Source organism: Homo sapiens, chromosome X (genome assembly GCF_000001405.40).
Source record: "Homo sapiens chromosome X, GRCh38.p14 Primary Assembly".
Taxonomy (NCBI): domain Eukaryota; kingdom Metazoa; phylum Chordata; class Mammalia; order Primates; family Hominidae; genus Homo; species Homo sapiens.
Window position 1 is genome coordinate 106,639,163 of NC_000023.11, and position 27,831 is coordinate 106,666,993.

The 27,831-nt window shown below is 34.3% G+C and overlaps 1 protein-coding gene and 1 non-coding gene across 4 annotated transcripts in view; both read left to right on the forward strand.

Moving 5' to 3' along the window:
• Positions 1 to 27,831, forward strand: part of RADX (RPA1 related single stranded DNA binding protein, X-linked) — a 67,462-nt gene that overhangs the window by 27,185 nt on the left and 12,446 nt on the right. Inside the window, exons 9-12 of one of the 3 annotated variants that reach the window (NM_018015.6) lie at positions 365 to 525; positions 1,390 to 1,559; positions 9,151 to 9,224; positions 22,853 to 23,143. In NM_018015.6, the coding sequence (NP_060485.4) occupies positions 365 to 525; positions 1,390 to 1,559; positions 9,151 to 9,224; positions 22,853 to 23,143 (696 nt within the window). Of the gene's footprint in view, positions 1 to 364; positions 526 to 1,389; positions 1,560 to 9,150; positions 9,225 to 22,852; positions 23,144 to 27,831 lie in introns of those variants that run through there. The other 2 variants (NM_001184782.2, XM_047442233.1) reach the window with 2 other exon arrangements.
• Positions 652 to 734, forward strand: MIR548AN (microRNA 548an). Its single transcript, NR_039765.1, has one exon. It is a non-coding gene; the product is annotated as a microRNA 548an (primary transcript).

Sequence of the window (27,831 nt, forward strand, 5' to 3'; positions counted from 1 at the left end):
CCTCTTATACATCATAATGCTAGCAATATGTAATAGTGTTTGAAATAATTAAAATGTGTTTTTCTATGCAGTGGCTAGGCAACACTTTATAGTTTGAAATATAATATGTAAATTGCATTTAATATGCAAAATTTATTTTGCAAATGAGGGGTACAGAGTGGAAGCCTGTATTCAAATTTAACTGATAAAAGTATTTTGCCTATTTCACAAAATTATATAGAAGGATGCCAGATATAAACACAGTGTCTCACAGTTAATGTAGTAAGTTTATAATTTTGTGTTGTGAAATTACATTGCAAATCTAATTCTTATTTTTATCATTTCAGTTCTTTAAAACTTACAATTTTCTTGGACTTTTTTGCAGTTGAGTCGCTCTTGACAGCTATAAGTGAAGTCAGGAAGGAGATTGAAGACTTGCAGTATAGGGAACAAAAGCGCATTGCAATTCAGGGGATAATTACTGCTATAAAGTATATCCCCCATAGCAGTGCGACTGAAAGTGCCTCAGCATCAGAAACACTTCGGGTATGGTGCCAGAGAATTAATAGTATTTCTCTGAAAGCACTGTGATTATGATTGCAATTGGTACCTTTTACATTTTATTCAGAACTCACGTGTATTGACTCTTAATAATGTAAGCCTAAGAGAAAACATTAGGTTGGTGCAAAAGGCATTGTGGTTTTTGCCTATAAAAGTAATGGCAAAAACCGCAATTCCTTTTGCACCAACCTAATATTTTTACTTTTTTGTTTGTTTCCTTTTTGTGTCATTTATTTGGGGGCAGACTAGGCCAATAATGATTATAGCCTCTTGACATTTCCCAAGGCCCTCAAAACTTGGTATCCTGTTTTTGCATTCTGTGTAATTTGAGGCTATTGTGGGTGTTTTAAATTTCTAGGTGGTATCTATGACTATATTAATTTCCTACCTTTTGTCCAGGCCAGTACTACAGGAAAGCTTTCATAGGAAGTTTTCTCTATATCTGGCATAGTAGTCTTACCCAGGTTCTATAACTCTTCTAGAATAAATAGTTTAGTATTATAGAAGATGCCAGTTCTGGAATATTGGCACAATCAAGACAAGTTAATTTTTCCCATGAGTTTATCTTTTTAAACACTACGTCCAGGACTACTACTATTTATATGGAAATAAGTGTTTAATCCAGCTTTTCAGATAGTAGTATAAGAAGGACTTTTGTTTGTCTTCCTTTTAAAAAATATTTTAATAGCAGATGGATTAGATTCAATCATTTTCATAAAAGCACTGTTATGATTGAAGTTTTGCCAGAACTGTTGATTATGAAAAATGAATACACTAAAATTGTAGTCTTTTATGAGATTAATAATTGTGAATTAGCCTAAAGTGTTTTCTCTAAATTATTGGTTTTAGAATGCTAACAGACCCTCGACCTCTCAAGCAGCTAGAGTAGAAATTCAAGAAAGAAATGGTAAACGGCATCAAGATGATGAGCCTGTGAATTCTCAGTATTTCCAAACTACATCTACAAATTTAAGTCTGAGCAATAAAATAAGAATTCTTCAAGGCCCACACGCTAATCCGTAAGTCATTTGTATTAAGTATATGTAAAGTATATTTTTTCTTTTGGGTTATCTCTACCCTGTAAAATAAGCAATTATCGTAGAAGCTGTATTAATTTGTTAGGGCCCCCATAACAAAATACCACAACTGAGTGACTTAAACACTGAAATTTGTTGTCTCAGAGTTCTGGAGGATAGAGTTCAAGATCAAGGTGTCAACAGCATTGGTTCCCTCAGGGCTGCGAGAGAGAATCTGTTCAATGCCTCTCTCCTAGCCTCTTAGGGTGCTGGCAATCTTTGGCATTCCTTAACTTGTAGAAGCATCACCCCAATCTCTGCCTTCATATTCACATGGAGTTCTCTCTGTGTAATGTCTGTGTCCAAATTTCACCTTTTTCATAAGGATACCACTCATATTGGATTAGGGGACCACCCTAATCCAGTATGACGTCATCTTTATCAGTAACATCTGCTATGACCCTATTTCCAAATAAGGTCATATTCAGAAGTCCTGAGGGTTAGGACTTCATCATATGAATTTTGTGGGGACACAATTTAACCCATAAGTCTGCCCTCTGGTCCCACAAAATTCCTGTCCTTCTCATATGCAAAATAGGTTCACCTCATCACAACATCCCCAAAAGTCTTATCCCATAGCACCATCAATTCTAATCCAAAATCTCATCTAAATTTCATATGGATGTAATTCATCCATCCATGATCATGGTGATTTATCCTGGGGCAAAATTCTTCTGCATCTGTATACCTATAAAATCAAACAAGTTATCTGTCCAGAATACAGTGATGAGATAGGTATAGGATAGACACTCCCATTCTGAAAGAGAGAAATTGGAAAGAAAAGGGGGATCATGGGTCACAAGCAACTCCAAAACCTAGCAAGGCAAATAAATTGCATTAGATTTTAAGGCTTCAGAATTATTCTCTTCGCCACAGTCTTATGTCCTCTGGGCTCACTGGGGTAGCATCCCCACTTCTACAATCCTGGGTGATGGCCCCACACTCTGGAACCAAGGAAATGAACCCACCCTCTGGAATTGAAAAGGGAGCACTTGTCCTCTGAAACCAAGGAGGTAGTCTCACTCCCAAGGTCATTCTTCCATTTTCCTGAACAACAAGAACATTATAGCTTACATTTGCTTACCAGTTGTTTAAGCATGGGTCTTTACTACAAAACATTCATACATTATGAATTGTACATGATTGGAAGTTTTGGTTTCTTTAAAGTGTCAGGAAAGCCCAAACACTCATAAAGCAGAGTGCAGAATCACTTTAGATTTTAAGATTTTAAAAATTCCAATCTTTTAGAGTGTGCCCGGGTGCACAGCAGTTTTTGGTTGTGAATAAGTAATAGGTAAAATTTTTAATTTATTTTTTAAAATTGTTTAACTTTTAATTTTTGTGGGTACATTTAGTAGGTATATATATATTTATGGGGGTACATGAGATGTTTTGATACAAGCATACAATGTGAAATAAGAATGTCATGGAGAATGGGGTATCCATCCCATCAAGCATTTATCCTTTGTATTACAATCAAATTACACTCTTTTAGTTACATTTAAATGTACAATTAAGTTATTATGGACTATAGTCACTCTGATGTGCTATCAAGTAGTAGGTCTTATTCATTCTTTCTAGCTATTTATTTGTACCCGTTAAACGTCTTCACTTCCCCGCACCCCCCTGCTACCCTTCCCAGCTTCTGGTAACCGTCCTTCTAAACTCTACCTTTATGAGTTCACTTGTTTGATTTTTAGATCCCACAAATAGGTGAGAACATGGAATGTTTATCTTTCTATGCTTGGCTTATTTCACTTAACATAATGATCTCCAGTTCCATCCATGTTGTTGCAAATCACTGGATCTCATTTTTATGGCTAAATAGTACTCCATTGGGTATATGTATCACATTTTCTTTATCCACTCATCTGTTGATGGACATGTAGGTTGCTTCCAAATCTTAGCTATTATAAACAGTGCTGCAGCAACATAGGAGTGCAGATATCTCTTTGGTATACTGATTTCCTTTCTCCTGGGTGTATACCCAGCAGTGGAATTGCTGGATCACATTGTATTTCAATTTTCAGTTTCTTTGAGGAACCTCCAAACTGTTCTCCATAGTGGTTGTACTAATTTACATTCCCACCAACAACGTACAGAGTTCCTTTTCTCCACATCATCACCAGCATTTGTTATTGCCTGTATTTTGGATTTAAGCCGTTTTAACTGAGGTAAAATGGTATCTATCCACGGCTTTTTGAGGGTTTTTTTCATGAAGGGATGTTGAATTTTATCAAATTTTTTTTCAGCATCAAATGAAACGATTGTATGGTTTTGATTTGCATTTCTCTGATGATCAGTGATGTTGAGCACCTTTTCATGTGCCTGTTTGCCATTTGTATACCTTCTTTTGAGAAACGTCTATTCAAATCTTTTGCCCGCTTTTTATTGCATTATTAGATTTATTCCTATAAGTTGTTTGAGCTCCTTATACATTCTGGTTATTAATCGCTTGTCAGATGGGTAGTTTGCAAGTATTTCCTCCCATTCTGTGGGTTGTCTCTTCACTTTGTTGATTGTTTCCTTTGCTGTGCAGAAGCTTTTCACCTTGATGTCAATCTATTTGTCCATTTTTGCTTTGGTTGCCTGTTCTTGTGGGGTATTACTCAAGAAATTTTTGCCCAGACGAATGTCCTGTAGATTTTGCCCAATGTTTTCCTGTAGTAGTTTCATATCTCAATGTGTTAGATTTAGGTCTTTAATCCATTTTGAGTTGATTTTTGTATATGGCAAGAGATAGGGGTATAGTTTCATTCTTCTGAATATGGATATCCAGTTTTCCCAGCACCATTTATTGGAAAGACTGTCTTTACCCCAGTGTATGTTCTTGGCACCTTTGTTAAAAATGAGTTCACTTTAGGTGTGTGGATTTGTGTGTTGATCAATTGAAATGATCGTATGGTTTTGATCCTTTAATCTGTTGATATGATATATCACATTGATTTGCATATGTTGATTAGGATAGCTTTGGCTATTCTGGGTCTTTTGTGGGTCCATCTAAATTTTAGGATTGTTTTTTCTGTTTCTGTGAAGAATGTCATTGGTATTTTGGCAGGGATTGCATTGAATATGTAGATTGCTTTGGGCAGTATAGACATTGTAATAAATTGATTCTTCCAATACATGATCATACAGTATTTTTCCATTTTTGAATGTCCTCTTCAATTTCTTTCATCAGTGTTTTATAGCTTTCATTATAGACATCTTTCACTTGTTTGGTTATGTTCATTCCTAGGTATTTAATTTTATGTGTGGCTGTCGTAAATGGGATTACTTTTTTATTTCTTTTTCACATTTTTCACTTTTGGCATAGAGAAGTGCTTCTGATTTTTGTATGTTGATTTTGTATCCTGCAACTTTAGTGAGTTTACGAGTTCTAATAGTTTTCTTGTGGAGTCTTTAAGTTTTTCCAAATATAAAATCATATCCTCTGCAAACAAGGATTATTTGACTTCTTCCTTTCCAAGTTGGATGCCCTTTATTTCTTTCTCTTGTCTGATTGCTTTAGATAGGACTTCCAGTACTATGCTGAATAACAGGGGTGAAAGTGTGCATCCTTGTTGTCTTCCAGATCTGAGGAAAGGCTTTCAGTTTTTCCCCATTAAGTATGATACTAGTTGTGGGTCTTTCATATATGGTTTTTATTATGCTGAAGTACGTTCCTTCTATCCACAGCTTTTTGAGGGTTTTTATCATGAAGGGATATTGAATTTTATCAAATGTTTTTTCAACATCAATTGAAATGATTGTATGGTTTTGATCCTTTTTTCTGTTGATATGGTATATCACATTGATTTGCATATGTTGAACCATCTTGGCATCCCAGGGATAAATCTCCCTTGGTCATGATGAGAGATCATTCTAATATATTGTTGAATTTGGTTTGCTAGTATTTTGTTGAGGATTTTTGTATCAAAATTCTTCAGAGATATTGACCTGTAGTTTTCTTTTATGGATGTGTCTTTGTCTGGTTTTGTTATAAGGGTAATACTGGCCTTGCAGAATGGGTTTGGAAGTATTCCTTCCTCCTCCATTTTTTTGAATAGTTTGAGTAGGATTGATCTTAGCTCTTCTTGAAATGTTTGGTAGAATTCATCAGTGTAGCCATTGGATCCCAGGCTTTTCTTTACTGGGAGACTTTTTGTTACAACTTCCATCTCATTACTTGTTATTGGTCTGTTCAGGTTTTGGATTTCTTCCTGGTTCAATCTTGGTAGGTTGTATGTATCTACGAATTTGTTCATTTCTTCTAAATTTTCCATTTTATTGTCATATGGTTGTACATAGTAGCCACTAATGAACCTTTGAATTTCTGCAGTATCAGTTGTAAAAGCTCCTTTTTCATTTCTAATTTAATTTATTTGGATCCTCTCTCTTTTTTTCATGGTCTGGCTAAATGTAAGTTTTGTTTTACTTTTCAAGAAAGCAGCTTTTTGCTTCATTGATCTTTTGTATTGATTTTCTCATTTCAATTTTATTTATTTATGCTCTGATCTTGTTTTCTTCCACTACTTTGGGTTTGTTTTGCTCTTGCCTTTCTAATTCTTTAAGATGCATCATTAGGTTGCTTATTTGAAGTTTTTCTTCTTTTTTGTTGGAGGCACTTATAGCTGTAAACGTCCCTCTTACTACTGCTTTTGCTGTATCCCTTAGGTTTTGTTATGTTTTGTTTCTATTTTCATTTGTTTCGAGCAATTTTTCAATTTTCTTCTTAATTTCTTCATTGACACATTGGTAATTGAAGAATATGCTGTTTAATTTCTATGTATTTGTATAGTTTCCAAAATCATTCTTGTTACTAATTTCTAGTTTTACTCCATTGTGGACAGAAAAGGTGCTAGATATTATTTGTTTATTTGAATGTTTTAAGACTTGTTTTGTGACCTAACATATGATCTATCCTTGAGAATGATCCATGTGCTGAGGAAAAGAATGTGTATTCTGCAGCTGTTGGATTACATGTTCTGTAAATATCTATTAGATCCATTTGATCTACAGTGCAGATTAAGTCCAATATTTCTTTGTTGATTTTCTGTCTAGAAGATTTGTCCAGTGCTGAAAGTGGGGTGTTGAAGTCTCTAGCTATTATTGTATTGCGGCCTATCTGTCTCTTTAGCTCTAATAATATTTGGTTTATATATCTCGATGCTCCAGTGTTGGGTGCATACATATTTAAAATTGTTATATTGTCTTGCTGGATTGACTCCTTTATCATTATATAGTGATCTTCTTTGTCTCTTCTTATTGTTTTTGTCTCAAAATCGATTTTGTCTGATATAAAGATAGCTACTCCTTATTATTTTTGTCTCGAAATCGATTTTGTCTGATATAAAGATAGCTACTCCTACGGTTTTTTGGTTTCCATTGACATGGAATACCTTTTACCATCCTTTTATTTTCAGTTTACATGTATCTTTATAGGTAAAGTATGTTTCTCATAAGCAACAGATCAATGGATTTTGCTGCTATGGGATAAGACTTTTGGGGCTGTTGTGATGGGGTAAACCTATTTTGCATATGAGAAGGACAGGAATTTTGTGGGACCAGAGGGCAGACTTATGGGTTGAATTGTGTCCCCACGAAATTCATACAATGAAGTCCTAACCCTCAGGACTTCTGAATATGACCTTATTTGGAAATAGGGTCATAGCAGATGTAACTGATAAAGATGAGTTAATACTTTCATAGAGAGCTAAGTCTTGTGGAAGAGACAGACTTTTAAACCTGTAATTTCAATATGATATGGTGAATGCCATGATAGAAGTTTATTCACAGTACTGTAATAGCATATACAAGGGGCAGTTAGCCTTGGCAAGAGATCAAGGGAAGCTTCTTGTAGGAAATTATGCTGGAGCTAAATCCTGAAGGATGAGTAAGAGTTAACCAGGCAAATGAAAGGGGACATAGGATTGTTCCAGGCAGAAAGAAAAGCGTGAAGGTTTAAAGCACCATGGGACTAATAAAAAACTATGAAATGAAATTGGAAAGGCAGGCCAGATTGTTTCCCATAATTTTTGAACAAAGAAAATGTAAAAACTAGGCCATTGCACTTATTTCATTTTTACTTATTTATTTTTAATTTTTGTAAGTATATGTTAGGTGCATTCATGAAATGTTTTGATGCAGGCATACAATGCATAATAATCACATCATGGAGAATGGGGTATCCATCCCCTCAAGCATTTATCCTTCGTGTTACAAACAATTAAATTACACAGTCTTTTAGTTATTTTAAAATGTACAGTGAAGTTATTATGGACTATAGTCACCCTGTTGTGCTATCAAATAGTAGGTCTTATTCATTCTTTCTATATTTTTGTACCCATTAACCATCCATACCTCTCCCAAACTCCCCTACTCCCCTTCCCAGCCTCTGGTAACCATTCTTCTTCTACTCTCTATCTCCATGTGTTCAGTTGTTTTAATTTTTAGCTCCCACAAATAAGTGAGAACATGCAATGTTTATCTTTTATTGCCTATCTTATTTCCACTTAACACAATGATCTCCAGTTCTATCCATGTCATTGCAAATGACAGGATTTTAATCATTTTATGCCTGAATAGTGCTCCATTGTGTATATGTACCACATTTTCTTTATCCATTCATCTGTTGATGGACTCTTAGGTTGCTTCCAAACCTTAGCTATTGTAAAAGCTTCTGCAACAAACATGGAAGTGCAGCTATCTCTTTGATATACTGATTTTCTTTCTTTTGGGTATATACCAAGCAGGGGGGATGCTCGATTATATGGTAGCTCAATTTTTAATTTTTGTAGAAACCTCCAAACTGTCTTCATAGTGGATATACTAATTTACATTCCTACCAACATTATACAGAGTTTTCCCATTCTCCACATTCTTGTCAGCATTTGTTATTTGCCTGTCTTTTGGATTTAAGCCACTTTTACTGGGGTGAGATGATATCTCATTGTAGTTTTGATTTGGGTTTCTCTGATGATCAGTGATGTTGAGCACCTTTTCATATACCTGTTTGCCATTTATATGTCTTTTTTTGAGAAATGTCTGTTACAGAAATGTCATTTCTCATAAAAATGTCAAATCTTTTCCCCATTTTTCATCAAATTATTAGCTTTTTTCCTTTACAGTTTTATTTGAGCTCCTTGTGTATTCTGGTTATTAATCCCTTGTCAGATGAGTAGTTTGCAAATATTTTCTCCCATTCTGTGGGTTGTCTCTTCACTTTGATTATTTCTTTTGCTCTGCATGCACTAAATTTTAAATTTCTGTCATAAAGAATAAAAATATTATCTTCAGTTAATATTTAATAAAATTAATGCTCCCTTTTATGGAATAATCTTTAAAATTTAAATCTATTGCAGTATTTGAGTTGTTTTATATATGGATATTTTTCATAATTATTAGTGTATGTTAATGTATTATTCAACAAACTTAACCTGTATATTTTCTAAATTTATTGAATTAAAATAAATTCTGAATAGAACCAGTTGATTTGTTTTTCATTTGAGACTCTTTTTATAAGGATTGGTTATACTCTTCTTATCCTTTATAGAGTTGCTGTACCTCAACCAGGAGCTTCTGTACAAACAAAGGGAATTAAACCGGGCATGCCAAGCATCTTCAACCGTATGTTACTATTTGTTATTATTATTTATGAAAACTTTATGAAACATTATTCTATGAAGATTACTATTTAATTACTAAGCACAAGTAATACATGCTTAGAATGTATACTTTGCATATAGTAATATTAGCTTAGGTCACTGTCAAAAGTGTACTGATCAATTTGGTATCATCCCAAAAGTGAAAGTAATTTTAAACAAACTTATACTTACCAGTTTGTTTCATTAGTAATAGTATATCTCTTCAAATGTACTATTTTTAATAGAAGAATAAGTAGGAAGTTTAATTTTTAATTGACAACAAATATGGATAGCTCTTAAAAGTAAATTGTATCTTCTTTCTTTGCTATTGGGTTGGCTGATTTGAACTTTGGCCTCATTTCTGAAGTGATTTCGTAATACAATTTTTTCTGGTGGGGTGTCCGTAGAGTAGTTTGGTTTAAGTCAGATCTTATCAGGTATCATCTCTCTGGATTAGACTTTTTAGCACTTTATTTCCTTGCTTTGCTTTTGGTGTTATTTTGTTTTCATCCTCCACCTAGACAAAAGTGATACTGTCATTTTATTGAATACTACCTTGTTAAATTTGATGTCTCAACGAACCTTTCCAAAGTATTTAAATATGACTTTTGTTGATTGTTACATGATATAAAATTGGAGCATTGTGAACAAGTCCATTCTAAACATTTTAAATCTTTTTAGAAACATCTGTCCTTACCTATTAGATTTATGTGGGTTAGTTAATAATAGATTTTTATTCATTTCTCCTGTCATATTCTAGACTGATTATTCTCTATAAGGCTGAATACTTTGTCCAAAAGTTTCAATGAGCACTTTAGATGATTTCAGTAAAAAATATAATTTGCGGACTTATGGAGAAAAAGATTATTTTTCCCAGCTAAGCATAATTTGAATTAAAAAAATGTTCCTCAGGCAATGGATCTTGCCTGGACTCTAAATTCTAAAAATGAAGGAGAAAACCATAATTGTTCCCAGGTTTTGTGATTCTCTGTTTAATATCCAAGAAAGCAATTAAATTCTATTCTTCAGCTTGTCAGCTTGGTGATTAAACTTCATACAGATTTCTATATTAGCATCTGCTAAGATTATCCCATCTCTTTTACCTACAGAAGATAATATGGTACTTCTCACAATTATATAATAGTAGTACCAGCCATTTATTGAGCATTTATGTGTCAGGCACTGTGCTGAGCTTTATGGACACATTTTGTTTATCTCACAGGAAGTGGTTATTTGAAATTAATTTCAACTTTTCCTTCCTATTCCATGCTGTTTTGGAGAAAGCTCTTGTTCAGATGTAAGTTAATCATTCACTTGCTAACTAAAATTGAAAGATAGAATGGATTGAGTCTTAGGCTGCAGAAAGAAATAAATCCAAGAATAGCCTGACAGACCAGTAGCAAAAGGAGGGATTGCCTTATGGTAAATCTGGCCGATTGAAAACCCACAAAAGAAAAACATTATAATATAAGTATCTAATCAAGCTCTAAACAAGAATGAAAAATCACCAGGTGCCAGAAACAAAAAAGGAATTTAAATTTACTAGTGAGTAGGAACCAAAACTGAAAGTGTTCATGGACATCTCAGAACTAGATAGAGACCTTAATTTTCATGGGCTGAGAGGTATAATAACCACATGGGAAGGAGAGTCCAGACCACAGGCCTCCTACTTGTGAAGAAGTAAAACTAATGTAAAGTTGGAAGTTTGCAGAAGGGCAGAAAAATTGTGACCATGAATGTGGAGAGATATCAAAGAGCTTCCTGTATCTCCTGGGCAATGGGTAAGAAAAAGTCATCTGAGAGAAAGTGGAATCCCAGACCTGTGCAGCATGGAAGTATGGTTGCAGTTCACATGATTAAAATGGTGAGGCTACTGAACTAAGGAGTTAGCACTAATATCTGGTCCAAAATCAGTGAAATCAAGACCCTAAGGTCTAGACAAAGGCAGTTGTGAAACTTCCTAAAAGGGAGGTTTCTTGTAACCTAGGGTGCTTGGGATTCCCTTGGAAAACAATATCTACAGAAAATGGATTCATGGTGAAAAATTACAAGCTTCCAAAGGAAATGAGCTACTACTGAAAGGCAGTGTGATCAGATGTAACACATGGAAGAATTTATACCCCAGGAACTAGAAATACTAGGCCAATCAGAAAGAGGCTTTGAAACGTATGTTTATTATTTTTATAATTTTTTTATAGAGATAGTGTCTCACTATGTTTCCCAGGTTGATCTCAAACTCCTGGCCTCACGTGATCCTCCAGCCTCAGCCTTCCAAAGTGCTACAGGTGTGAGCCACCACATCCAGCTCTAAAATAAACACGTTTAAAAAGTTAAAGGAATAAATAAAAGTCAGTAGGTTGGAAACAGATCAATATGAAGAACTGACATATGTGAAAAAGGTATCCACACACACACTTATCGGTAGAGGATGAGTAGAATAATAGATAAATGCAGATGAAGAAATAATTTAGTGTATTTGGAGATACTGATGAAATCACACCAAAGAGTGGTAAAGAGTTTAGAAAGGTAAAATACAAGTTGAGAGACATAGTGGATAGGATGAGAAAGTCCAATTTATATCTAATAAAGGTTCAGGAGGACAGAACAGAGATAGTTAGGAAGAAGCAGTATTTGAAGAGGGTATTTTTTCAAAATTGTATATATATAAAAATGAATTATTAAATTGAAGGATCACAGTGAATTCTGAGTAGAATAAAAATAAACTGTATCTAGACATATGATATGTGATAAATCATACAGACCATGATAGTGAACCTGCAGAGCATCAAAGATAAACATCCTTAAAACTACCAGAGATAAAAAAAAGACAGATTTATCAACAAAGAAAACAAAATTAGACGGAAAAATTTCCCAAAAACAATAATGCTTTAGACAGTGAAATATCTTCAAAGTGTTGAGATAATTCCTAACCTGGAATTTTATGTCTACCTAAACAATCAAGCAAGAGTGACGGTGAAATAAAGATATTTTCAGATAGTCAGAGACTAAAAGAGTTATTACTTGTAGAGTCTCAATGAAAGAATTACTAAAGAATTCTGAGAGATGGAAAATCAAACCAAAAGGAAATATCAGAATGTAAGAAGCAATGGTAAGCAAAGAAGTTAGTAAAATATTGGTAAATATAAATAAATATATGCAGTAGAAATTAATAACTATGGTAACAAATTATTTCATGGGATTTGAAACAAAGTAGAATGAAAATACTATTTAAGGTGAAATGGATGGAAAGATGAGAATTAAAGCATTCTAAGATCATTGTATCTTTATGGAAAATAGAGATTTATATACTGCAGGCTTTGTAAATTTAAACATGTGAGTTAAAAATTTAAGATCAAGCTGAAAGAATAGGATAGAATGTGTAACTTCTGAAGCAGCACAGAAAAAAAGGGGAGGAATTATGAAAAATTTTTCAGGGCAGTAAAGGTAGAAAAAAGGGGGAAAAAGCAAAGAAAAAGCATGATTAAGATAAAACATGGGCTGGGCATGGTGGCTTATGTCTGTGATTCCTGCACTTGGGGAGTCTGAGACAGGAAGATTACTTGAGGCCAGGAGTTCAAGACTAGTCTGGGCAACATAATGGGACTCCATCTCTCTCTTTTTTTTTTAAGATAAAACACAAAATGATATAGCTGAGATAATTCTGAATTATCAACAATTTCAATAAATGTAAACATATTAAACTTTCGTATTCCAATCTTAAAAATTAATCCAGTTACATGCTACATATAAGAGACACACTTAAGCCTGGTGCAGTGGCATGCACCTATAGTCCTAGCTACTCAGGAAGCTGAGGCAGGAGGATCACTTGAGCCCAGGAGTTTGAGACTGTAGTGTGCTATGATTGTGTCTGTGAATAGCCACTGCACTTCAGCCTGGGCAACATAGTGAGAACCAATCTCAAAAGAAATTTTTTTTAAGAGAGAGACATACTTAAGCAAAATTATATAAAAAGTTGAAAATAAAGGAATGGCAAAATATATACCTGATATATACTAACCAAGAGAAAAGTGGTATAGCAATATTCATATGAAGTAAATAGAATTTAAGGTAAAAACTGTAAGTAAAGATAAATAGGGACGATATAGAATATATAGGATGATAAATGGACATTCCACTAAGAATACAGTAACAATCATGAATGTGTATAACATATAATATAATCTTAAAAAGGTAAATAACCTGGTGGATTTTAAGAGCAGTTGGTGCACATAACAGTCATGGTGCACTCCTCTTAAAATAATAGAACAAGGAGACAAAAACATCATTAAATGCACACACACACACACACACACACACACACGCCACTGAAAACCAGGATAAACGATATCTTAAAAGAAGCAAAAGAGAAAAGAAAAAAATACACATAAGTCACAAAGGATCAAAGACAAGCATGACAGCAGATGTCTCTTAAGAAATCATGTAATCACGGAGCATGCCTGTATTACCAGTGACTTGGGAGGCTGAGGCAGGAGAATCGCTTGAATTCAGGAGGCGGAGGTTGCAGTGAGCCAAAATTGCACCACTGCACTCTAGCCTGGGTGACAGAGTGAGATTCTGTCAAAAAAAAAAAAAAAAAACCTGTAAACTTAGAATTCTATACACAGTGACTATAACTTTTAAAAATAAAGGCAAAATAAAGACAAAAGCTGCAAAAGCTGCAAAAGCTGAGAGAATTCATCACCACGAGACCTACACAATGAAAAATATTAAAGGAATTCTTCAGGCAGAAAATGTATAGCACCTGATAGAAATTTTTATCTAAGTAAAGGAAGATAAAGCACTAGAATTAGTAAATAGGTGGGTAAAATAAAATATATTTTCTCATTTTTCTTTTAGATCAGAAATAATAAAAATATATTGTGGAGTTTATAGTTTATATAGAAGTAAAGTGTTATGAAAAAATAGCATGATGACTGGAGGGGATATGGAAATGCACTGTTCTAAAATTCTTACACTACATGCATGAAGATGCATAGCATCATTTGAAGGTAGATTGTAGTAAATGTTGTATATTGTAGACCTTGGAGAAAACACTAAAAAAAAGTGTAGCTAATCAATAGCAGGGCTTAATGGGATTATGTTTTATTTTATTTTATTTTATTTTATTTTATTTTATTTTATTTTATTATACTTTTAAGTTCTGGGATATATTTGCAGAACGTGCAGGTTTGTTACATAGGTATATACGTGCCGTGATGGTTTGCTGCACCCATCAACCCATCGTCTACATTAGGTATTTCTCCTAATACTATCCCTCCCCTAGCCCCCAACATGCCGACAGGCCCCAATGTGTGATGTTCTCCTCCCTGTGTCCATGTGTTCTCATTGTTCAACTCCCACTTGTTAGTGAGAACATGCAGTGTTTGGTTTTCTGTTCTTGTGTTAGTTTACTGAGAATGATGGTTTCCAGCTTCATCCATGTCCCTGAAAAGGACATGAACTCATCCTTTTTTATGGCTGCATAGTATTCCATGGTGTATATGTGCCACATTTTCTTTATCCAGTCTATCATTGTTGGACATTTGGAATGGTTCCAAGTCTTTGCTATTGTGAACAGTGCCTCAATAAACATAAGTGTGCATGTGTCTTTATAGTAGAATAATTTATAATCCTTTGAGTATATACCCAGTAATGGGATTGCTGGGTCAAATGGTATTTCTGGTTCTAGATCCTTGAGGAATCACCAAACTGTCTTCCACAATGGTTGAACTAATTTACACTCCCACCAACAGTGTAAAAGCATTCCTATTTCTCCACATCCTCTCCAGCATCTGTTGTTTCCTGACTATAATGATCACCATTCTAACTGGCATGAGATGGTATCTCATTATGGTTTTGATTTGCATTTCTCTAATGACTAGTGATGATGATTTTTTTTTCATATGTTTGTTGGCTGCATAAATATCTTCTTTTGAGAAGTGTCTGTTCATATCCTTCACCCACTTCTTGATGGGGTTGTTTATTTTTTTCTTGTAAATTTGTTTAAGTGACCAGTGGAACAGAACAGAGGCCTCAGAAATAACACCACACGTCTACAACCATCTGATCTTTGACAAACCTGACAAAAACAAGCAATGGGGAAAGGATTCCCTATTTAATAAATGGTGTTGGGAAAACTGGCTAGCCATGTGCAGAAAACTTAAACTGGACCCCTTCCTTACACCTTATACAAAAATTAACTCAAGATGGATTAGACTTAAACGTAAGACCTAAATCCATAAAAACCCTAGAAAAAAACCTAGGCAATATCACTCAGGACATAGGCATGGGCAAAGACTTAGGAATAAAACACCAAAAGCAATGGCAACAAAAGCCAAAATTGACAAATGGGATCTAATTAAACTAAAGAGCTTCTGCACAGCAAAAGAAACTATCATCAGAGTGAACAGGCAACCTACAGAATGGGAGAAAATTTTTGCAATGTATCCATCTGACAAAAGGCTAATATCCAGAATCTATAAAGGGATTATTTTTTAAAACATTCAATCCAAGAGAAGGCAGGAAAAGAGAAAATTGATCTAAGGAATAGATGAGTCAAAGAGAAACAATAGAAAAGTAGCAAATTTAAGTCCTTCCATGGTTAATTGCAGGCGTACCTCAGAGATATTGTGGGTTTGGTGCCAAACCATTAGAATAAAGTGAAAATTGCAGTAGAGCAAATCACACAAATTTTTAGGTTTTTCAGTACATATAAAAGTTATGTTTACATTCTAATAAGTATGCAATATCATTATATCCAAAAATGTACATACCTGAATTTAAAAATACTGTATTGCTAATAAATGCTAACCATCATCTGAGCCTTAAGTGAGTCGTAGTCTTTTTGCTGGCGGAGGGTCTTGCCTTATGCTGATGGCTGTGGCAGTTTCTTTTTCTTTTTTTTTTTTAAGTTGTTATTAGCTTTATTTTTTTTTCAGGTTTTCTTTTTTTATTATACTTTAAGTTCTAGGGTACATGTGCACAATGTGCAGGTTTGTTACATATGTATACATGTGCCATGTTAGTGTGCTGCACCCATTAACTCGTCATTTACATTAGGTATATCTCCTAATGCTATCCCTCCCCCCACCGCCCACCCCATGACAGGCCCCAGTGCTTGATGTTCCCTACCCTGTGTCCAAGTGTTCTCATTGTTCAATTCCCACCTATGAGTGAGAACATGCGGTGTTTGGTTTTCTGCCCTTGGGATAGTTTGCTCAGAATGATGGTTTCCAGCTTCATCCATGTCCTTAAAAAGGACATGAACTCATCCTTTTTTATGGCTACATAGTATTCCATGGTGTATATGTGCCACATTTTCTTAATCCAGTCTATCATTGATGGACATTTGGGTTGGTTCCAAGTCTTTGCTATTGTGAATACTGCCACAGTAAACATACGTGTGCATGTGTCTTTATAGCAGCATGATTTATAATCCTTTGGGTATATACCTAGAAATGGGATGGCTGGGTCAAATGATATTTCTAGTTCTAGATCCCTGAGGAATCGGCTTTGGCAGTTTCCTAAAATAAGACAGCAATAAATTTTGCCACATCAGTTGACTTTTCCTTTCAGGAAAGATTTCTCTGTAGCATGTGATGCTGTTTGACAGCATTTTACCCAGAGTAGAACTTCTTTCAAAATTGGAGTCACTCCTTTCAAAAATTGACACTACTTTATCTATTATGCTAAGCTTATGTAATATTCTAAATTCTTTATTTTCATTTTAACAGTGTTCACGACATCTTCACCAGGAATAGATTCAATCTCAAAAAAACCACCTTTGTTCATTTGTAAGAAGCAACTCTTCGTCCATTCAAGTTTTATGATGAGATTGCAGCAATTTAGTAACATCTTCAGACTCCACTTCTAATTCTAGTTCTCCTGCCATTTCCACCACTTCTGCAGTTACTTCCTACCCTAAAGTGTTGAACACCTCAAAGTCATCTATGGGGTTTGGAATCAATTTCTTCTAAACTCCTGTTCATGTTGATATTTTGGCCTCCTTCCATAAATCACAAATACTTTAAATGGCATCTAGAATGGTGAATCCTTTCCAGAAGGTTTTCAAATTTCCAGGAGGTTTTCAGTTTTCACTTTTGCCCAGATCCATCAGAGGAATCACTATGGTAGCTATAGCCTTATGAAATGCATTTCTTAAGAATTAAGACTTGAAAGTCAGAATTACTCCTTGATCCATGGGCTTCTGAATGGTTTTGTGTTTGCAGGCACGAAAACAACATTGAACTCCTTGATGGAACTCCGTCAGAGCTCCTGGTCATCAGAGCTCCTGAGTGACCAGGTGCATTGTCAATAAGCAGTAATATTTTGAGGGGAATCTTTTTATCTGAGCAGTAGTTCTCAATAGTGGGCTTAAAATATTCAGTAAACCATACTATAAACAGATGTGCTGTCATTGAGGCTTTGTTCCATTTCTAGAGCACAGGCAGAGTAGATTTAGCATAATTCTTAAGGGCCCCAGGACTTTTGGAATGGTAAATGAGCATTGGTTTCAACTTAAAGTCATCAGCTGCATTAGCCCCTAAGAAGAGAGTCAGCCTGCCCGTTGAAGATTTAAAGCCAGGCATTGACTTTTCCTCTCTAACTATGAAAGTCTTAGATGGCATCTTCTTCCAATACAAAGCTATTTTATCTCCATTGAAAATCTGTTGTTCAGTGTAGCCACCTTCATCAGTTATCTTAGCTGGATTTTCTGAATAACTTGCAGCTTCTACATCAGAACTTGCTGCCTCACCTTGCACTTTTATGTTATGGAGATAGCTTCTTTCTTAAACCTCATGAACCAATCTCTGCTAGCTTCCAACTTTTCTTCTCCAGCTTCCTCACTTATCTTAGCCTTCATAGAATTGAAGAGAGTTAGGTTAGGGCCTTGCTAGGAATTAGGCTTTGGCCTTAGGGAATATTGTTGTGGCTAGCATGATATTCTATTCAGACCACCAAAACTTTCTTTAGATCAGCAATAAGGCTGTTTCAGTTTGTTATCATTCATGTGTTCACTAGAATAGCACTTTTACTTTCCTTCAAGAACTTTTACATTGCACTCTCAACTTGGCTAATTGTTTGGCTCAGAAGGCCTTAGTTTTCAGCCTATCTTGTTTTTTAACATGCCTTCCTCACTAAACTAAATTGTTTCTAGCTTTTGATTTGAAATGAGAGATGTGTGACTCTCCTTTCACTTGAACACTTAGAAAACATTATAAGGTTATTCATTGGCCTAATTTCAATATTATTTTGTCTTAGGGAGTAGGGAGACTTGAGGAAAAGAGGATAGACAGGGAAATGGCCAGTAATTGGGGCAGTTAGAACACACACAGTATTTTTCAATTAAGTTTGCTATCTCACATGGGTGTGGTTTGTGGCGCCTCAAAACAATTACAATAGTAGCATCAGAGATCAGTAATCACAGGTCACCATAATATATATAATAATTTAAAAGTTTGAAATATTGTGATAATTACCAAAACGTGACGCAGAGACACAAAATGAACATATGCTGTTTAAAAAATGTCACCAATAGACTTGCTCAACACAGGGTTCCCACAGACCTTCAATTTGCAAAAAAATGCAATATCTGTGAAGCACAATAAAGTGCATTAAAACAAGGTATGCCTTTATATTAAAATAAATAGCATAAATACCCCAAGTAAAAAGTGGAGATTATCATATTGGATACAAAAGTAAGACCCAACCATATACCATCTAAAAGAAAACCAATTTAAATGTAAAGATATGATATAAAAAGATGGAAAAGCACATACCATACAAAAGAAAACTTGAGTGTCTACACTTATATCAGAAAAGTAGATTTCTGATACAATCAACTATAACTGGATATTGATAAAAATTTAAAGTAGAGAAATGAGAAGAGTCAAGGATCCCTCAATTACCTACTCCTTGTCTCTTTTTGACAAACTCAGTATTCCAGCTGGAGTAGGCATTTGTATTAGGGAGAGACTCATGCACCTCCCCACTTTGTTAGAATAGATATGCTGCAACCACCATTTGAGAATAATTTGACAATACCTAATTTGTTGGGAATGTGTTACACTCTGTGACCTAGAAATTCCATTTATGTCTTTGGCCACATAGGAAGACACATTCCAAGATTTTCACTGGAAAATTATTTATAATAGGGAAAATTAAAAGCTAAATGTTAATTAACAGATGATTATAAATATAGCATATTAATATACTGTAATATTATATTGCAGTTTTAATGAATGAATTAGATCTATATGTGTCAACATGGTCACTAATGTATTCCCAGGTAGTTTCATGATAACTTTGGCTTTTTAGATGCTTGTAAATTCAAAAGTCATTCATTTTGTGAATACACAATTAATATGTTTGTGTGGTTTGTTTGTGCTTATATCTAGTAACTCAGACATACACTTGAAAAGTTAACAGTAACACAAGGCATTACAGGTAGCCTCTGACTTTCACTAGTCTTTAAAAAGTCCGTTATATACTTGCTAGCAAGAAGGAGAGGCAAAGAAAGTAGCTCCTTTCCCTCCCCCATGCCTCCATACATCCCATTACATTTTTTTTTTTTTTGAGACAGAGTCTTGCTATGTCATCCAGGCAGGAGTGCAATGGCACGATCATGGCTCACTGCAGCCTCGACCTCCCAGGCTCAAGCAATCCTCCCACCTCAGCTACCAAGTAGATGGAACCATAGGTGTGTGCCATAATGCCTGCTTATTTTATTACTATTACTATTATTATTATTATTACTTTGTAGAGACAGGGTCTCCCTATGTTACCTAAGCTGGTCTTGAACTCCCGGCCTCAAGCAGTCCTCCTGCCTCAGGCTCCTGAAGTGCTGGGATTACAGGCGTGAGCCTGCCTCTATCAACCTACCACTCTTATCCACGTAATGAAATGCTTGGAGTAGATTTAAAAAAAAAATTCACGATGCCTACGTACATACGTTTGAACTGCATTCTTTTTTTAACCTTACGACCTAAATGTAAATGTTCCTCATTAAAACATTGAACCAATCTCACCAGAAATAAGAGTAAAATAGATAATTGAAATAATAGAATGAAAATTATAATTGTAAAATATAAAAATATAATTTTGCTAAGTAATTAACCTATATTTTAGCTATGCATTAAGCTTAAAATATAACATGTTTCATATAGTAATTTTATTAATATTCAAAAAAAACTAGTTCATGATTTTCCATCTTATTTTTAGAAAAACCTGAGCTCTAGATATATTTTGTCTCTTTCCTATTTATTGTCTTTGATTTGTTACTATTCACAACCAATAACTGCCAATGTCTCCTGTATTGATTTCATACTGATTTGTATTACTTAATTATGAAGATACAATTGAGGTAGGTAATTGTAGTCCCCAGTTACTAAAATAAAAAAATAAAGCATGTTTCTTTAGAGGAATTTTTCATATAAACATTTGTACCTTGGCAGTCCTTAATATTAACACTCAAATAAGAAAATATGCATAGAAAATATTCTGGCTTTTTCCAAACAGATCAATCATATAATTGTTTTCTATAAGGTAGATGTAAATACTTAATTTTTAAAAATTAGAATAGCATATCACTTTTTCTTTTGCATGCTGTATTCTAAAATAAGTCAAGCAGGAATGTTTAATATGGGTTAGATCATTGCAATAGCTACTAATTGTTGTTCTGATTATGTACTTTTATTAGTTTGAGAAGAGATTTACTTCTAGAAGATACAAAAGATGAAGTCATTTCCCAATCATCAATTTAGTCCTACTAACTCTTTTTCTCAGCTTTGATTTATTCCTTTTGATCTTTTCGTGTGTGACTAAGTTTTTTATCCCTTTTGTTATCAATCATTATTATAGGAATTTGTGTGTTCATCAACTGAATTTTTAGTTTAAAAAACTCTTTTGTAGTATTGCAATATTTTAAATTCCTGGTAAGAAGTATGTGTTCAACTTCTTCATCTTCCCTTACAACTCAAACTAATACTTTACCTTGTAATACATTTTCAATAAGTCTCCAGCTAGGCTTAAGAAACCAAGCAAGTACTCTGGGAATATGTAATAAAGTCTGATAATCAGAAGTAGTATTTTAACCATACTGAAACCTTGCTATTGCAGCCACCTTCTGCCTCAGCAAGGTTTTTTATGCTAGGATAAGAATACCAGGACATAGGCAAGAAAGAAAGTCAGCAACTTTGGTAAACTCTTAAGCTGTCAGCCTATCTCAGCTAGCAGAACTGTTGTTCCAAAATCAATTTTTTTTTCTGATTTTACAGTGTTTCCGATTCTACCATGGTACATTATTTAATCAAAGTATTACTTGTACCAAATTCCTTAACACAATGTCTGGCACATAATAGGTGTTCTGTAATTGTTTGTTGAATGGATGAACGAATGTCATAATGTATACGTGTATTAGTCTGTTCTCACACTGCTATAAATGACTGCCTGAGACTGGGTAATTTACGAAGAAAAGAGGTTTAATTGGCTCACAGTTCCACATGGCTGGGGAGGCCTCAGGAAACCTACAATCATGCCAGGCACGTCTTATATGGTGGCAGGCAAGAGAGACAATGTGTGCAGGAAGAAATGTCAAACACTTATAAAACCATCAGATCTCGTGGGAACTATCTCATTTTCATGAGAACAGCATGGGAGAACCACCCCCATGATCCAATCACCTCTCACTAGGTCTCTCCCTCAACACCTGGGGACTCAAGATAAGTTTTGGGTAGGAATACAAAGCCTAACCATATCAATAAGGGATAAATTATATTCTGCATTAGAAACTTAATGTGTTAGATTTTAATCATACATAAATGATAATTTGATTTGATGATAGAGAACAACAAAAATTGAGGGGGTCTTTCATCTCAATTTCGTTCCCTTTTTGTTTTCCATAAAGGAGTGTCATATATAATAAATAAATGGCCCCTTTGTTTTTCGTTTTTGTTTTGTTTTTTTTTCTTGTTTTTTTTTTTTGGTTTTTTTGTTTTGTTTTGTTTTTTAGTGACAGGTCTCTCTATGTTAACTAGGCTGGTCTTGAACTCCTGGCTTCAAGTGATCCTCCTGCCTCAGCCTCCAAAAATGCTGAGATTACAGGCATGAGCCACCATGCCCAACCCCTAAATGGCCCCTCTGAAGGAGAGAAGTAATGAAGAAGGAGACTGTATTTGTTCAGTTTACTTTTAGCAGAGATTAACAAAAGTTTATTTTAGGCTCAAATTTCCACCAAGAGTGAGTGATCTCTAATCATGAATTTAATTTAATTTGAATTTGTCACTGAATATAAAAAGAACATATGTTTAAGAGCTTTTAGAACATTTAGAAAAAGTAGAAAGAACGTAATTACAAATCTACATAATTACAACAACAGAGAAAACAATGTCACTTTAGTATTTTACGGTAAAAGTTTATTTTGAAAGTGAATTTAGTTCCTCACTTTAATAAGAATTTTCTTTTGTATATTCATTTTATATTTTGTAGGTAGTGGTTTGATTTTTAATGTTACTTAAACTCTTCCTCATTAATGTGTGGTTTTTTTTTGCAGTGAATGACTTGATTTGATTAGTTTATAGATCAATTGTGTCTATCTCCTTGTGTCTTTAACAGGTCGAGCAAATATAAATGCTAATCTGCAAGGGAAAGCCAGAAAAACTATAAGTGATAGGTGGGAGAGTCAGCTGTGGAGAGAGAAAAAGTTTGGCTTAATAGATCACCTACACTACAGCCGTGTTTATCCTGAAAGTATTCCACGGAAATTTATGTTTGAACACAGAAAGTTTCTTAGTGACCAGTATAATTCTCAGCCTGCGAAATATGTACCACCAGAAGGAAGGCCCCCAAAACTTGATGATTTTAAGAGCGCCCGAAGCCTTGGACATTTTGAAGTAACCATACTAGGTAAGTTCACTGTTCTTTTTGCATATCATTAATTTAACATATTTTAAATATACCTACTATTTCGCTTTAAAAATTTAAGCCCCTCCCACAAAAACATTAAGCCCAAGGGAAGTTTTTGTTTGGCTCCAACAAAAGGAATGGAGCACCAATTATGGAATAAATGAAGCTCTAATTGTGTGCTTCTAAACATTGGCAAGTCCTTGGAAGGTATCTGGCGAGAGAAGAATGGGAGAACTAAGGGAATTTTCCTCATTCCTGACTATCAGTCAGCTTCTAAGGCAGCTTCTGTTCTCCCTTAGCCACCACTTTCTTGCCTATATTCTCTGCTTCTTCATTCATCGGAACCACTGAAGGGTAAAGTGTAAGTTAAAGAGGAGAAAGAATACTAATCAAAAGAAGCCCCTACCAAAAAAAAAAAAAAAGGAAGAAAAAAAGGTCTGTTTAGACCCTCAAGATAATAAAATAATCAAGTAACTGAGGTTGACTAGAAATAAGTTATTGAAAAAACTGCCCTTGTCTGATAAGAGAAAATAAGCTGATTTACCCAGGTTTTTCAAAATTGAGAGGTAGCTATGGAACTTACAGAAATTTAAAGAAGTCAAAACATTTTAAAACTTAGTTTTTTTTTTTTGTTTCGGAAAGATGAAAAATTTACACACAAAAAAATTCTAAAACAAAATCTTAGTTAAAATGACTCTCAGAGTCAAGCAAAACAATGCATTTGTATTTCACAGGAAGATCTTAGTACCAGGTCTTATTACCTTAAAATGAAGGAATGAGGAAAAAATTATTAGCAAATTAACTTAATGACCGAATAATGTAGTTCATGGATTTTTACATTTGTAGTACTGGACATCTTGGCCGGTTAGCTCAGTTGGTGAGAGCGTGGTGCTAACATTTGCAGTCCTTGGATGAATTGCCTTGACCTTTATCAAGATTCTCTTTTCCCTTTTATTCTCTCCCAATCCCTCTTCCCTACCTCCTCACATATAAATATGTACAGACATGTGAGTATGTATGTAATCTATGAAAAGTCTGAATTCTCACTGACTCCATTAGACAATCACAGACCTAAGTTTCAAATGCTTTTTCACTAGAATGTATTACTTGGTCTCTTCAAGTAGTTCATCAACTTTAGTTTTGTATCTAGGGAACAAAAATTATAGCAAAATTTCCCATCCATCAAAAAAATAATAATCATGGATAATAGATACAAAAATTTAGAAATAATGCGTAAGACCTACAATTTTGTAGCAGAATAAGGTGACTATGGTCAATAATAATTTAATTGTACATTTTAAAATAACTAAAAGAGTATAATTGCATCATTTGTAACTCAAAGGATAAATGCTTGAGGAGATGGATACCCCATTTACCCTGATGTGATTTTTACATATTGCATGCCTATATCAAAATATCTCATGTACCCCATAAATATATACACTTATATACCCACAACATTAAAAATTAAAAAGGTAACCATGGAAATGATGAGTTCATCTAGAAACATAGAACTTGAATTTTTTTCTTACTTTTAACATGTTAGTGCTCTATTAAAACAGCTTGACTAAGACTTCTCAGCTGTATTACATGTAATTATAAATTTGTGTAGCTTTGGCTATGAGTCAGCTAAGAGCAGGAATCAAATGTGAAGAAGGAAATTTCATCATTCCTCCCACTAGCTTTAATCCATGTTAGAAGTATGCTGTTTCTATATAAATTTTATATCCTACATTTTTCCAAGTATGGTTTACATAGTTAAAAGACAGTGGAAAATAAGCCATTTATGAATGAAACAAAACAGAACATTTTAAAGGAAGCGCAAAAGTAGGTATTACTAGGTACTTGCAAATAACCAAATTTCTACCATTGGCAATAATTTTCTGTGCTTTCTGGCAGGAAGGGAGAAGGGTTTTTTTTTTTTCAATTGTTATTGTTTTTTTTCTGATGAGATATTTAATTTTAAAACCAAACAAACCTTGGATATCTTCTAGTCTTACCCTTGGCTAGGTAAAAGCCAGGCCATGATTATAAATCAGATCTCCTGATTCTCTAAACGTATCATCTGTTGCAGAGAAAACAATTACATAGAGGAACCCTGCTATTTTTTCTCTCAAACAAAATTCAAGTCCGAATTAACTGTATGAAACTTCAACTGTAGTTTTTTTAAAAAGTTATGTAAATGATCTTCAGATAGTTGCTTCGTGCATCAACATTTTAATATACCTAATCAGTATAATCATTAGTCATACCTTAATAAAGCATTTCTATAAAGGAATATATTTTCACTTTATTATTATATAATCCAAGTACTTCACGCTCTAATAGTTTAACTTAATGGAGGGATAAAACCTAGAGGGCTGGGATAAATGGTACTGGATCCAGTGATTCTCATACAGTCTCGGTGGGAGGGGGTAGCTTATCAAAGTCATCTACAAGAGGCCTATTCCTACTTCTTAGAATTCTGATACACACTAGAGAAGCAGCCCATTCAGTCTACTCCATTCATAAGAGAGACTTATTGCCACAGAGATAATTCCACTGCCAAGAACACATCCTGTCCATCAGGTGTAAAGGAGTAGATTAAAGGTTGAAAACTCTATGCTTTAAGTAGTACTTGAAGTATACATTGTCTATACTTCAAGTACTATCTGTATTCATATCTTCATTCATTCAGGTACTATCTACATCTATACTTCAAGTACTACTTAGAATGAGAGCTGAATATCGGATGTGACAGTGCTGAATTTGTCATATCTTTTAGAAAAGTATGAACCCAAGTTGTATTATAAGACCAGACAAATGGTTCATATATATTTTAAGCATGGACATGAGCAATAAACTCAGAAGAGAGGAATAAATCTCTTATTACTGTGCTATTTGTTGAAAGGTAGAATCCCAAAACTGAAAGATGACTTTAAGTGTATCTTATACAAGGTGGCACACTTGGTCAGTAAAGGGCCAAGTAGTAAATGTTTGAGGTTTTACAGGCCATACAATTTCTTTTGCAACTACTCAGCTCTGCTGTATTAATGTGAAAGCAACCATTGACAATATGCAAATGAATGCACATGGCTGTTTGAAAAAAACTTTATGTACACTAAAATTTGAATTTCATATTTTCATGTATCATAAAATATTGTTCTTTTGATTTTTTTAACTATTTAAAAATGTGAAAGCTATTCTTAGCTCATGGAATGTACAAAACCAGGGGCAGGCTGAATTTCCACCCCCTCCCCCAACCCCCCGGTCATAGTTTACCCTGTTCTAGACCCCTGTTCTTAGTTGAGACTGCCTAAACCAATTCAGGCAGATAAATCTGTATGATGTTTAAGGTTCTCCAAGCATGAAGATTGTCTAATTTAGTGATACTATCTTCTAGTGGTTTATTATACCTCTGCAATATCTTGCAAGTCTCTAGAAGACCTCGTAATTTTGAAGTGCCTTATTCCTGGAGCCAAAAATGTTATTTGGACCACAACTCTGTTACTTGGTCATTACCTCTGACTGGAAGGGTGAATTGTTATTGAAAACATTGAATAGAATTATTAGTCTTCCTTCTTTCCCACAGTCCTAATGGCTCTCAGCAACCACCAGCTTGGTACCATGGCAATGTCAGAAACCTATCCTAGAAGCACTGGTTCTTGCCTTTAAATTCTTGCTGGGCCATCTCACTTGCCTCAAATCAATAGATTATAACCATTAAAACCTCAGCTCATTGCCTACCATGTAAGATCACACACTTTAAATAGAATATATTGAGATGAAGTAACGAACTAGATTTTCAGTGCCCTTAGCCCAAGTACAAAATGTAAAATCTGTTGGTCAGTCTTTCCCAATTTTAAGAATTATTTTTCACCTGAAATATAAGAACACACCTTTCAAAAGTTTTAATTGAACTTACAGATCATTAAGATACACAATAGTGTATCATTGGCTCTACTAACACTAATTTGGTTACCCATGAAATCTGATGAGTCAATCAAAGTTTAAAAGTCATCTCCTCAATTTTCATTTGACTTAGATAATTAGGAACATAATCCAGCCAGCCTTTCCAAGTCTCTGAAGGCTGCCTATTTGTCTTTTAAAAGTCAAAAGATATAAACCCCAATAATAGCATTAATTGGTAAGGGAATCAACATTGAGGGAACCCAGTGCTACTCAGCTAATCTTTCAAAAAGGCTTTCAGCAAGGAAGGTAGCATACCCCAGAAGTAGAAATAATTGATCCTGAGCCCACAGGCTAATACCAAGGAGGGAAAGAATTATATTGGTCTACTTGGCTGCTTTAATAAAAGAAAATATAAAGATGAGTAAAGCCTTATTATTTCAGCGTATCTATAGTATATTAAATTACCTTGATATCACAGTTAATGTTATTAAAATTTGAAATTATCTTTTAAATGCATTTTACGGTAAAGGAAAAGAACAAACCATATGACAAATTTTTCCAAAAAATACTTTGACAAAAAAATCTAGAAAAGATTATTTTAACAGCTCTCCTTACATCATAGCCATTTTTCTTGGGGTTTGTACAGGATATTTGTGTTCATTTCTTGGTAATGGGAATATGGATGAACTTATATTTGAATGCTCTTGCACAAATGTCTTAAATTCTATTATTGAAAAATTATAGGTAAAATGCACACATGTGTATTTATTTACTCAATTTAAGAAATATTTACTGGG